General features: G+C 48.2%; 2 protein-coding genes across 6 annotated transcripts in view, besides 3 other annotated features; both read right to left on the bottom strand.

Moving 5' to 3' along the window:
- Positions 1 to 15: part of a silencer, noted in NCBI's record as "silent region_11073", that runs on past the window's edge. NCBI's record gives its function as "represses an Ori minimal core promoter by ATAC-STARR-seq in GM12878 lymphoblastoid cells {active_cell/tissue: GM12878}" and the evidence as "EXISTENCE:reporter gene assay evidence [ECO:0000049][PMID:35858748]".
- Positions 1 to 243, bottom strand: part of ZNF805 (zinc finger protein 805) — a 22,097-nt gene extending 21,854 nt beyond the window's left edge. For both annotated transcript variants that reach the window (NM_001023563.4, NM_001145078.2), the window contains exon 1: positions 1 to 243. This exon is cut by the window's left edge and continues 47 nt beyond it. The gene's annotated coding sequence lies outside the window, so the exon portion shown is untranslated.
- Positions 136 to 405: an enhancer, noted in NCBI's record as "active region_15128". NCBI's record gives its function as "activates an Ori minimal core promoter by ATAC-STARR-seq in GM12878 lymphoblastoid cells {active_cell/tissue: GM12878}" and the evidence as "EXISTENCE:reporter gene assay evidence [ECO:0000049][PMID:35858748]".
- Positions 426 to 645: an enhancer, noted in NCBI's record as "active region_15127". NCBI's record gives its function as "activates an Ori minimal core promoter by ATAC-STARR-seq in GM12878 lymphoblastoid cells {active_cell/tissue: GM12878}" and the evidence as "EXISTENCE:reporter gene assay evidence [ECO:0000049][PMID:35858748]".
- Positions 5,327 to 9,852, bottom strand: AURKC (aurora kinase C). Of its 4 annotated transcripts, none has more exons than NM_001015878.2 (7): positions 9,569 to 9,852; positions 9,088 to 9,133; positions 8,651 to 8,842; positions 8,195 to 8,333; positions 7,267 to 7,415; positions 5,817 to 5,991; positions 5,327 to 5,628 (listed from the first exon to the last, which is right to left on the bottom strand). In NM_001015878.2, the coding sequence occupies exons 1-7, from the start codon at positions 9,624 to 9,626 to the stop codon at positions 5,458 to 5,460; spliced, it is 930 nt and encodes a 309-aa protein (NP_001015878.1). In that variant the 5' UTR covers positions 9,627 to 9,852; the 3' UTR covers positions 5,327 to 5,457. The 4 variants fall into 4 exon arrangements, with proteins under 4 accessions (NP_001015878.1, NP_003151.2, NP_001015879.1 ...); NM_003160.3 differs by having other exon boundaries at positions 9,756 to 9,852; NM_001015879.2 differs by having other exon boundaries at positions 9,761 to 9,852.

The following is a 12,624-nucleotide window of genomic DNA, read 5'->3' as shown; positions in this document are numbered from 1 at the left end:
CTAGCGGGGCGGGGGCTGCGGCGAGCAGGGCGGGTCTCGCGGGCTCAGCCGAGCCCCACCCCTTCCCTGCGCCGGGCCCGGTGACCTTGGCTGACAGTCAAACTCTCTCGTTACGGGGAGGCTCACGGTTCGCTCCGAGACGCGGAGGTCGCTGTCGGCCTCCTACCTGCTCATTTCCCCAGCGCCGCCAGGGAGGCGGCCACGGAACACCGCCCCCTCCCTAGAGCCGGCGTGGACGGAACCGTCGCTCCCAAATTACGTCCCATCCAAATGCCGGAAGTCCCGCCCCAAGCTTCGCAACCCACAGGAAACGCCCCTGTCCTGGACCATCATTGGCCCCAGGGCCCGCCGTCGCACCTGGCAATGCCTTGTAGTTAATGTAGTTTTTCTCTACAAACCACCTGCAAAGGGGACAGATCCTGAGCCGGCAGGCCTCGGTGTAAAAGTCGCAGCGGGCCTACAGCCCGGCTCAGACCTGCCTCTGTCCTGGGGGCACAACTCGGAGGCCAGGGACCAAGCGCGAGACCGTCCATTCTTGGCCGGAGGAAATCGAGCCCCAGGAGTCAGGGACATTTGCCAGGGTCAGGGCCAGTGCAGAGACCCTGGACCAGGCTCCGGACTCTGACTTCCACCTTGCATTATTTCCCCTCCGGATCCTCTTATACAGATCAGCGGGCAGTCAGAGTAACCAAAGGGGGACGTCGGGCGGCGCGATGCCTCAGGCCTGGGATCCCAGCGCATTGGGAGGCCAAGGGGGGCGGATCGCTTGAGCCCAGGAGCTCAAGACCAGCTTGAGCAACATAGGGAGACTACCAAAAAAAAAAAAAATTTTTTTAAAATAAGCTGAGTGTGCTGGCGCACACCTGTGGTCCCAGAAGTCTGTGGCAGGAGGATCGCTTGAGGACAGGAGTTTGAGAACAGTCTGGGCGACAGAGCGAGACCTCATTGGTACCAAAAAAAAAAAAAAAAGAAAAAGAAAAGAAAAAAAATAGAGCGCGGTGGCTCACGCCTGTAATCCCAGCACTTTGGGAGGCCGAGGCGGGTAGATCACGAGATCAGGAGATCGAGACCATCCTGGCTAACACGATGAAACCCCGTCTTTACTAAAAATGCAAAAAATTAGCCGGGCGTGGTGGCTGGCGCCTGTAGTCCCAGCTACTCGGGAGGCTGAGGCAGGAGAATGATGTGAACCCGGGAGGCGGAACTTGCAGTGAGCCGAGATCGCGCCACTGCACTCCAGCCTGGGCGACAGAGTGAGACTCCGTCTCTCTCTCTCTCTCTCTCTCTACTTATATATACATATATTTATATATACATATATACATATATACGTATATATACATATGTATATATACGTATATATATGCACATATATATTTATATATATATTTATATATATATTTTTTGAGACAGGGTCTCGCTCTGTTGCTCAGGCCATAGTGCAGTGGCGCGATCACAGCTCACTGCAGCCTCAAACTCCAGGGTTCAAGTGATCCTCCCACCTCAGCCACCCAAGTAGCTGGGACTGCAGGCACGCACCACCACGCCCAGCAAATTGAGGGTTTTTTTGTTTTGTTTTGTAGTTTTTGTAGTCAGTTTCACCATGCTGCCCAGGCTGGTCTTGAACTCCTGTGCTCAAGTGATCCACTCACCTTGGCCTCCCAAAGTGCTGGGATTACAGGCATGAGCCACAGCATCCAGCCTACTCAAAAAAAATTTTTAATTAGCTGAGCATTGTGGCACACCCCTGTAATTCCAGTTACTCAGGAGGCTGAGATGGGAGGATCTCTTGAGCCCAGGAGGTCGAGGCTGCAATGACCTGTAATTGCACCACTGCACTCCAGTCTGGGCAATAGAGCAAGACCCTGTCCAGCTGGGACATGTTGCAAATGCATTGTCTCTCTTGGGCCTTCTTTGGCCAAGCTTGGTCTTCACATGGTCCAGCAACTTTTGCTTTAGGTATTGGCTGAGAGCCCTGGTAGAGTAGATTTGACATTCCTTAACGTGGGGAGTCTTGGACTGGGTGAGCTCATGACTCCAACTTTAAGCATGATCAGTTTGAAATGTCTGTATGACCACAGAGTGTCTGTGTCACAGCAGTTCAATCTCTGACTGAATATTGGGAGAGAAGTTGTGCCTGGACATAAAAATCTGGAAGTTTTTGGCAAACACTGTTATTTCAAGTTATGATACTGGACAAGACCATGAAAAAAAATGAGCATAGATGGAGAAAGGAATGGAAAGAGGTGAACATTGTTAAACAAAAATTACAGGAGGCCATTGTTTTGGAGCTCCTACAGCAGGCCTCACTGACCAAATCAAAATGGCGTCTCTCATACTAAATGTCATCTAATCAAACTGAAGTTTTAAGGAAGCAGACAGATCCCAGTTTTTCCTAAAAGCAGATTTCAGTCTACCTGAATTAGTGAAATTAGGAAGTCCCCTCTGCTTTAACCCTTAGAAAAAGTAATCTGTTAACCAATCAGCTTTTTTTTCTATTGTTCTATTTTATTGTTCCCACCTTACAAAACCCACTGTTCTGCCATTGCCCAGTGGGAACTCTAATTTCTATTGTGTAGAACAGAGATTGCCTCAATTCATGAATCACAAACAAAAGTCAATTAGATCTAAAACTAAATTTGTTGTAATTTTGGCCTTTTGACAACCCTGAACTAACTGGTTGCAAACAAGAAAGCAACAAAGTCATGTTAGGGTCATAACAATCTTTTAAGAATTATACAGGCCGAGTGCAGTGGCTCACGGCTGTAATCCCAACACTTTGGGAGGTAAAGGCGGGTGGATCAGCTGAGGCCAGGTGTTTGAGACCAGCCTGGCCAACATGGTGAAACCCCGTCTCTACTAAAAATACAAAAATTAGCTGGGCATGGTGGCGGGTTCCTGTAATCCCAGCTACTTGGGAGGCTGAGGCAGGAGACTCGCTTGAATCTGGGAGGCGGAGACGGCAGTGGGCCGAGATCGGGCCAGAGAGCAAGATTCCGTCTCAAAAAAAAAAAATCATATTATACAAAACCTTTGTAGTCTCCGTTGGTGACTGTTTTTTTTCTTCTCATGACTATGAAGGTTAGAGAATAAAATCCAGCTTTCAATGATTTGACAATACATATGGTTATGAAAATGGAAACAAGGTGTGCAGAAAATGCCCTCCAGAGATTTGAAAGTGGAGAAAGTATCATGACAGGATGTTAACTGGGTGGAAATGTAGATGGAATCAATTTTCTAGAAGGTATTATTTGTAAAATGAGATTATTGAGAAATGTTGCTTAATTAGCGTGCAAGCTGTTGACACTGTTACTCATCATTGACAATACTAATTTGCCCAATTTAGAAGAGAGGAATAATTCTCCTTTCCATATGTGTATGACCCGTAGGGTTAAATTAGTTTTCGCTTTGGATGCAGAACAGATATTAAAGTTAGTATATTTATATTCCATCATGGAATGTCTGGAATCAGTGCTGCTGAAGAAAGCTATGTAGATATTGGTGACAATTTTTTTTTTTTGAGACAGAGTCTCACTTTGTTGCCCAGGCTGGAGTACAGTGGCGCAATGTCGGCTCCCTGCAACCTCCACCTCCCAGGTTCAAGTGATTCTCGTGCCTCAGCCTCGCAAGTAGCTGGGATTACAGCCACCATGGCCAGCTAATTTTTGTATTTTTCAGTCAAGACAGGTTTTTACCATGTTGGTCAGGCTGGTCTCGAACTCCTGACCTCACATGTTTATCTGCCTGCCTCAGCCTCCCAAATTGCTGGGATTACAGGTGTGAGCCACTACGCCCGGCCTGGGGACACTTTCAAATCCCTCATGTAAAGCATGACAGAGTTTTCATTATTTAAACATATATCATCTGGTGATCAGTGCTGAGGCCCTAGTGATTTTTCTATCCTTACCTGCCAAAAATGTGCCCAGTGATGTGTTTATCCAGCACCTAAAATGTGTAAGAGTTTATATGTGTGAACCAGTTAATTTATTAGGAATTGCCAAGTGTTTAAAATGTTAATTCAGGAAAACTGATAGGATGAAGCAAAGCATATAGAGGTAAGCACTGTGTCTCCCCATGCAGGTAAAAGAAAGAAAAAACAAAAAAGAGGTAAATACTGAAAGTGCAGGTTAAAAACCATGAACCAATGTCTTGGAGTATTTAACTTATAGATCTGCAATAGTGGGAGCTTTTCATCCAAGTGAAGTGGCTGAGTTATTTATGCTTACGTAGTGGGTCTGGTCATAGCAGAAATCATGCCTGCAACTGCTGGATATTTCACAATGAGGAGACTTTGTAGAATATAATGATAGGAGTAACATTAACAAGGCAAACTCCATATAAAGTGCTTAACAACTAAAGTTAGGAGAAATACTGGTGTAACTGACTGCATTGATCAAAAAACATTTGAGCTTACAGCTGAGGAGTCTAGATGCTTACTGTGGTAGTCAGTTTATAATGGGTGCAGGGAGCAGCTGCCACATGAAGCTGTCACAGAAGGTTACAGAAGGCTGGAAGGCCACTCCCCAAATTGCAGCATGCAGTAATTTCAGAAGAGGTGATATTACATTTATTATGAGGAATGACTTATTCTAATGTCATCAGAGTGCAACACAACACAGAGGTGCTAGTGTATTCACTTAAGAAGTGGGTTGCACTGACGTGCAGTGAAACATTTTATTTCTGAGACAGCAGCATATTGATGTCCATAAAAAGAGAGTGGACCTTTGGGTTGATGACAGTCCTGTTTTACAAATGGCATACTCCTGAAAACATGGAGAATAGTAAGTTGGATCAAGGAGCCACTGTGATAGGTGGCAGGTTTATGTACCCTCAGGGAATTTATCTGCAGAAAGTAGACAAGAGTTTTCTTTCTTTTCTTTTGAGACGGTGTCTCACTCTGTCTCCCATGCTGGACTCCAATGGCACGATCTCAGCTCACTGTAGCCTCTGCCTCCCAGGTTCAAGCAATTCTCATGTCTCAGCCTCACAAGTAGGTGGGATTATAGGTGCCCGCCACAACGCCCAGCTAATTTTTGTATTTTTAGAAGAGACAGGGTTTTACCATGTTGGCCAGGCTGGCCTTGAACTCCTGAACTCAAGTGTTGCGCCTGCCTTGGCCTTCCAAAGTGCTGGAATTACAGGCGTGAGCCACCGTGCCTGACCTGAAAGTAGGCAAGAGTTTTCAGAAGAATGAAGTCACCATCTCCCGAGGTGGAAGGTGGGGGTAGCAGGGAGAACAACCTTGGGCAGCTCTCATGGGAAAGAGTTCCCACAAGAAATAAAGATTCTACCCAGTCACATAATAACTCACACAACTATGAAGAGCTGGTATGAAATGATTCAGCTTTTATTAATTAGCATCTTACATCTTAAAAGAGAAAAAAATAAAGACAAATGAGGTGGCAGAGCCAGGAGAGCTCCCTGAACACACACAAAGGGAACAGAGGCAGACAGGGCTCAGGAAGCCATCTGAGCACAGGGAGGCAGCACCCTTCGGGAGTGGGCCTGAACCCAGGGGTGCTTCAGGATCTGGGCCAGGGGCAGTCTCTCCAAGGGCTGGTATCTGAGAAGCCTGGAAATCAAGTCCCGGGCCCCCAGAGGCATTGATAGTGGAAACCTCACATCTACCTGATGAGGCCAGGAAAGAAGAAAGAGAAGTCTGGTTAATTTCTTTGATCAATGTCCTCCCTCTTCTTTGAGCCTTGTTAAGGCGCTGTTCTGGACCACAGAAGACAACCCTGTGTGTGTGTGTGCCCACAGCCCAGCAGCCATCACTGACCAGCTCCCCCATGAATGCCCAAAGGTGACTGTCCCACCTTGAGGATGCGTCTGTAAGTCTCACTGTGGGAGGCGCTCTCAAAGGGTGGATATCCCACCAGCAGCTCATAGCAGAGCACTCCAATGCACCACAAATCCACCTTTTCATCATATGTTCTCCCCTCAATCATTTCTGGCGGCAAGTAGTCCAGTGTCCCACACATTGTCTTCCTCCTAGAGGAAGGCAGAAAAGGGAATAAGTACTAAGCAGAGGCCCAGGATGAGGGAAATTCTCCTTCCCCAGCTTTCATTGAGATGTGGAGACCCTAGGACACCCTGGAAAGTCCCTCCCAAGCACAGGAGTTTGGAGAGACAAATTTTTAATATGGATCAAGGTTCAGAAAAGTACTGGGGCCTACTATTAATAAATCCATATTTTGGAATTATTCACACAGTGATTTAGCTCATGCTCCAGAATGTTTTCACAAGAATATTCTCAGCATTAAGAAAGATCTAGAACAAACTGATGGTGTATCAATGAGAGCCAAGTAAATAAATTATGGTAAGAAAATTTCTGTATGAAAATCATTCATACAGAAAAATGCACTCCTTTGGAATTGTGGAGCAATGACTTTATTTACATGCAAACTTACTGGTATAGTTATATATTAACAAAGATCAGAAAATAAAAGGTTTGATTGGACCACATTATTTAAATCTACGAATACATATCAAGTATAGGTGTTTGAAAATGGCAGCATTGGCCAGGCATCGTGGCTCATGCCTATGATCCCAGCACTTTGGGAGGCCGAGGCAGGCAGATTACCTGAGGTCAGGAGTTGGAGACCAGCCTGACCAACATGGTGAAACCCGTCTTTACTAAAAATACAAAATCAGCCGGGTGTGATGGCCCATGCCTGTAATCCCAGCTACTTGGGAGGCTGAGGCAGGAGAATCGCTTGAACCTGGGAGGGGGAGGTTGCAGTGAGCCGAGATCACACTATTGCAATCTAGCCTGGGCAACAAGAGCAAAACTCTGTCTCAAAAAAAAAAAAAAAAAAAAAGAAAAGAAAAAGGCAGTAGTTCAGCCAGGCATGGTGGCTGACGCCTGTAATCCCAGCACTTTGGGAAGCCAAGGTGGGCGGATCACCTGAGGTCAGGAGTTCGAGACTAGCCTGGCCAACATAGCAAAACCCTGTCTCTACTAAAAATACAAAAATTAGCCGAGTGTGGTGGCACATGCCTGTTATCCCAGCTACTTGGGAGACTGAGGCAGTAGAACCGCTTTAACCTGGGAGGCCGAGATTGTGCCCCTGCACTCCAGCCTGGGTGAAAGAGTTAGACTCTGTCTCAAAAAAAAAAAGAAAAGAAAAGAAAAGAAAAAGGCAGTATTCCAATAGAAACCCCAAGTTCGTATCTAGGTTTTACACATGGACACATGAAATACATTAAACTGGGTCATTCCTAACTGGTACTCAGAACTCACCCTACCACCACCACCTGACCTACCTCAGGGAGGGGGTGTGCACAGACCAGCCAAAATCTGCAATCTTCACCTCACCCCTGAACCCCAGCAGCAGGTTCTCTGGCTTAATATCTCTGTGAATCACTTTCTTGTCATGGCAGTAGGTCAGGGCATCTGCCAACTCCTCTATTATCTGTGGGTGCAAAGAAAAGTCACCCTGGAAGTGAAGCCTGCCACAATTTCCGTCTGAGGTGGAACACTTACCATGAATTGTATGATTACAGTGGAATCTTTTTGGTCCAGTAACTCCATTTCCTCCTTTTAAATTGCACCAGTTACTGGTGTGTGGGGTGTGGTTTTCCTCTCCTTTTTATGTGGTCTTATAGGATGGATGGTAACATGGACACAGATCCTCCCTGTTGTCCTAGCACAGCAAGTAGCCAGACATAGAACCTACATTGAGCCACTCAGATGATCTCTCACAGGACTTGAGGCCCGAGGAAGTGAAACAGAAACAGGAGGAAAGATGGAAGACCACTCATCCTGACACAGCAAGCTGATTGGACCATTGCTCCTGGGAAAATCATTGCCATGGTTCCCTTTCCGGAACCCTCTAGAAATCTCTTTGTACCTATCTCTAAGCCAGTTCTAGCTATTTATTCAGTGAACTCCTTCAGAGCCTTTCAATATGTTTCTTTACATAAGGCAGTGGAGTTAGATTCTGTTGCTTATAACCAAAGAATCCAAACCTATACGCAGTACTTATTAATATTCTGGAGATACAATGAGGTTAATTAGGGTATCCAAGGATAAAGCTGTAGAACATACGTGCCATTATATTAAATTTACACAATAACATTCAGAAGTAAACTTCTCAGAAGGCAATGCGGACCCTCCTGACAGCCACAAACAGAGCTCCCACCAGCCCACAGTAAACTCAGAGACCCCAGAGCCTCCAGACCCGCACCTCACCGTGGCTGTGCGCTGTTCATCTAATTTCTCGCTTTTCTGCAGCTCCTTGTAGAGCTCACCCCTTGGAGCATATTCCAGAATCAGGTACACCCGGCGTGCATCATGGAAATAGTTATACAGGCGCAGGATATTGGGGTGTCTGAAGGATTAATGTTGGAAGAGTCAGATTTCTCCCTGAGGCCTATCATATGATGCCACCGTCACTGCCTGGTCACACAAGTGGCAAATTATGCTGGGACCAGAATAACAACAGCCCTATCTGGGAGCAAGTGAGGGGAGAACGGAGAACAGGAACCAGGATTCGAGTGTCTGACCCAGGGTAGGAGGTAGTGTAAATGGAATGAACTGCAGAGAAGTCTTCAAGGTACAAGTGCAGGGTTTACTTGGGGTTAGTATTTGGGGAAAATGCTGGGCTCAGACGTCAAAGATGAAAGAGGAAGCAGAGACTGTCCTTACTGTAGATGAGCCTGGATCTCAATTTCCCGGCGCAGCTGGTGCTCCAGTCCTTCCTTCTCTATCTGCGACTTGAAGAGAACCTTCAGGGCCACAATGAAATGGCTTTCCTTGAGCCGAGCCAGGTACACATTCCCAAATTTCCCCTTGCCCAGGGGACGCCCGATTTCAAAGTCATCGACTGTGAGGCGCCGCCTGACAGGAGAGGAAGAAAAAAGCCTCAGCTTGGGAGGTAGGGTAGGCGGAGGGAAAGTCAGGGATGCCAATGCTCCCCTTCCTCTTTCATTGTATCCTTCCTCTGCCGCTTTCCCTTCTCACACAGACCCAGCCCTATCAGTAGTTCTCGTTCCCAGGAGCCAGCACCCCACACACCCAGTCTGTTCTTCATCCCCACGTCCCACCTTCCTTCCTTTTCCAGATACCAATCCCAAGGGACTCACATGGCTGGGCTGCTGGGCTGCTGGGCTGTTTGGTTTGCTGTAGCCACTGAAAGAGAGGAGGAGGAGGGAGATAGGAAGGGAGAGGGGAGGGAAGGAGAAGGGGAGAGAAAGAGAGGAGAGGAGAACAGTAGAGAAGGGAATAGGGAGCGAGAGGTGAGGGGAAGAAGGGGAGGAGAGAAAGAGAGGGAAGGGGAAGGCAGGGAGAGGGGGAGGGAGAGGTAAGGGGAAGAAGAAAGAGTAAGGTAAGGTAGGGAGGGGAGGAGGAGGTGAAGAAGAGGCAGAGAGAAAGGAAGGGGAGGAGAGAGTAGGGGAGGGAGAGGTGAAAGAAAGAATTGGAGGGAAGGGAGGGAGTGGGGAGAAAAGAAGAGCGTTGGGGAGGAGGAGAGGGAGGGGAGATGTCAACACATGTGTCTTCTGTGCACCCGACCCCTGGCCCAGTCCCCAGCCTTCCCTGCGTCCTTTCTCTGGCGCTGGCTCTCACACTCTTCGCCTGCAGGTTGAGCTTTGCCCAGCTGCACCACAGCTCTGGGGGAGCTCATGGGGAGAAGAGGTGAGGGCGCGGACGCCTTCCTGAACCCTCTGGATGGCTGTTCCCGTTCACAGGGTCCTGAAAGGGGTGGGGGGTCACTTTCTGGCCGGGGCGCTTCCAATCCTGCTCGTCCTGCAGCCTCACTGATGTCTCACTGCTACACAGGCTTCGGGATCCGCGGCGTCGTGAGCAGCCGTGGCTGCGCGGCCTTCTTTTATACCCGGCACCAACCGCTCAGAGAGGTACTTCCTGGCTGGCTCCTATTGGCTGAAATTCCTGACGCCATCGGAAGTGCGCCCAATAGAAAGGACAGAAACGGGAGCCTCAGTCCAGGGTTCCCGGGTTGGGGCGGAACTGGAGTGCTGCGGTCCGGGCTGGGCACTGAAAGCGAGGGCCAGGGGTGAGGCCCGAGAAGGAAGGAGACAGAGGGTGCGGAGAGGTGGTGATGGCCGTTGTGGGAATGAACAACGCATACACCCACGGGGTGTGCATGCGTCAACTAGGAGAGAGCCGCGATGCACGTGGGAATGAACAGACGCCCACTCCTGACGTGCTGGAGCCTCGTGCAGCCCGTGACCCTAAACCACTTCGCGCCTTGTGCAGCCGGCGACCCCAAAACCACCTTGCTTCAAGGTCACGTCCGATTCAGGCCACTCTCCAGGGTCACCGCGATGGGGCTCCCTGAAGCCTGCGGCTGTGCCTGCTCACAGCCAGGACGCCACCAGTCCAGCTCACTTACCCCTCTCCTCCCACTCGCCAAATATTTGTTGGACCCTGTAATCAGTTTGTGGATTTGGCCTCAGATCGTAAAATCAGCCCCCACGTATTTGTTTAGCAAACACATAAGTTTCAAAAACATTAAAAATTGAATTCTTTTAGACAGGGAACATATCTTGCAGAAATATAATTGAAGGCCTGGCGTGATGGCTCATGCCTGTAATCCCAGCACTTTGGGAGGCCGAGGCGGGCGGATCACCTGAGGTAGGCAGTTCGAGACCAGCCTGGCCAACAGGGCGAAACCCCGTTTCTACTACAAAAATTAGCCGGGTGTGGTGGCGCATGCCTGTAATCCCACCTACTCAAAAGGCTGAGGCAAGAGAATCGCTTGAACCCTGGAGGCGGAGGTTGCAGTGAGCCAAGATCATGCCACTGCACTCCAGCCTGGGCGACAGAAGGAGAACGAGACTCTGTCTCAAAAAAAACAAAAACAAAAACAAAAAAACCCAAAAACAAAAAAGCTCGTCTCAAAATATTTGGGGAGACCTATTTGAGTAATAAAACTCTGGTCTCTCATTTAGCTCGATTGATGTGAATTAAACCCTTTATTGCAATTATCCTGTCTTGATAAGTCGACTCTATCTGGGGAGCAGGGAAAATAATGAACCCATTAGGTGGTTACAATAGGTGGATCAGGGTAATGGCGCTTAGCTCAGGCCAACCATTCCTTTCTCAGAGGCTTTCCCAAACCTGTCTGTTTGTTTGTTTATTGAGACGGAGTCTTGCTCTGTCACCCAGGCTGGAGTGCAGTGGCTCGAACTCAGCTCATGCAACCTCCGCCTCCTAGGTTCAAACATTTCTCCTGCCTCAGCCTCCTGAGTAGCTGGGATTACAGGCACCTGCCACCATGCCCGGCTAATTTTTGTATTTTTAGTAGAGACAGGGTTTCACCATGTTGGCCAGGCTGGTCTCGAACTCCTGACCTCAGGTGATCCACTCGCCTCGGCTTCCCAAAATACTGGGATCACAGGTGTGAGCCACTGCGCCCAGCTCCAAACTGTCAATTTAAAACAGCCCCCACTACAACGTCATCCTGTTCTGTTTTTCCTTAGGTCACTCATAACCATGTGAAAGTGCTGTTTTATATATGTGTATATTGTTAATTTAATGAGTATCGATTGAGTGCCTATCTTGCAACAGGCACTGCTCTAAAAAATCAGATATGTACATAGCAAAATAATTATGCATTCCTGTACTTGAGGAATTTTTTTTTTTTTTTGAGATGCAGTTTCACTCTGTCGCCCAGGCTGGAGTGCAGTGGTGCGATCTCGGCTCACTGCAACCTCTGCCTCCCAGGTTCAACCAATTCTCCTGCCTCAGACTCCCAAGTAGCTGGGACTACAGGTGCACACCACCACGCCCGGCTAATTTTGGTATTTTTAGTAGAGACAGGGTTTCACCATTTTGGCCAGGCTGGTGTCGAACTCCTGACCACAGATGATCTACCCACCTCAGTCTCCCAAATTGCTGGGATTACAGGCGTGAGCCACTGTCCCTGGCCCTCGGGGACCTTTTAATTCCAACAATCAGTAACTCAAAAAGAACAACCACAACCACAAAAGTAAACAATATAGAAGGTTAGAGGGAGGTAGAGTAGTTGGGAAATGTCTAAAAGACAGTTATATCTGAGCATGGACTTGGAGGAATGGAGCATCTGAGGTAACAGGGTCTCATAGAGAGAGCACCTAAGACAAGGGAATGAAAGCAGGAGGATCCTGTCGTGTTTGGGGAAGTGCAACAAGGTTAGTATGGCTGCAGCTGAAGATAAACTGAATCACAGAGATAGATGGACGTGAATTCTGTAGTGTCCTGGAGGCCACAGTAAGGAGGTCATATTTTTATTTTTAGTTTTGAGACAAAGTCTCACTCTTCCACCCAGGCTGGAGTGCAGTGACACCATCATGGCCCACTACAGCCTCGAACTCCCAGGCTTAAGCAATTCTTCCACCTAAGCCTGCCAAGTAGCTGGGACCACAGGTGCATGCCACCACATCCAGCCAATTTTTAAAAATTTATTCTTTTTAAAGATGGGGTCTCACTATATTTCCCAGGCTGGTCTTGAACTCCTGGGCTCAAGCAGTCCTGCCTCAGCCTCCCAAAGTGCTGGGATTACAGGCGCGAGCCACTGCGCCTGGCCCAAGGATGTTGTAATAGGCTCCCTGTGTATTCTAGAATATACCTGGGATTGTATTTAGTCAGGCAGGGTGTGACAATCAGATACAGAAGTGATT

This window comes from Homo sapiens, chromosome 19, assembly GCF_000001405.40.
Source record: "Homo sapiens chromosome 19, GRCh38.p14 Primary Assembly".
Taxonomy (NCBI): Eukaryota; Metazoa; Chordata; class Mammalia; order Primates; family Hominidae; genus Homo; species Homo sapiens.
The sequence above is the reverse complement of the archived record's forward strand: the minus strand, read 5'-3'. Positions and strand labels throughout refer to the sequence as shown.

Coding starts and splice junctions, on each gene's coding strand:
- AURKC (NM_001015878.2), bottom strand. CDS start 9,626: ATGAGCTCCCCCAGAGCTGTGGTGCAGCTGGGCAAAGCTCAACCTGCA. Junction 9,134..9,568: donor TCAACCTGCAGGCGAAGAGT/GTGAGAGCCAGC, acceptor CCTCTCTTTCAG/TGGCTACAGCAAACCAAACA. Junction 7,416..8,194: donor ATGAACAGCGCACAGCCACG/GTGAGGTGCGGG, acceptor TTGCACCCACAG/ATAATAGAGGAGTTGGCAGA.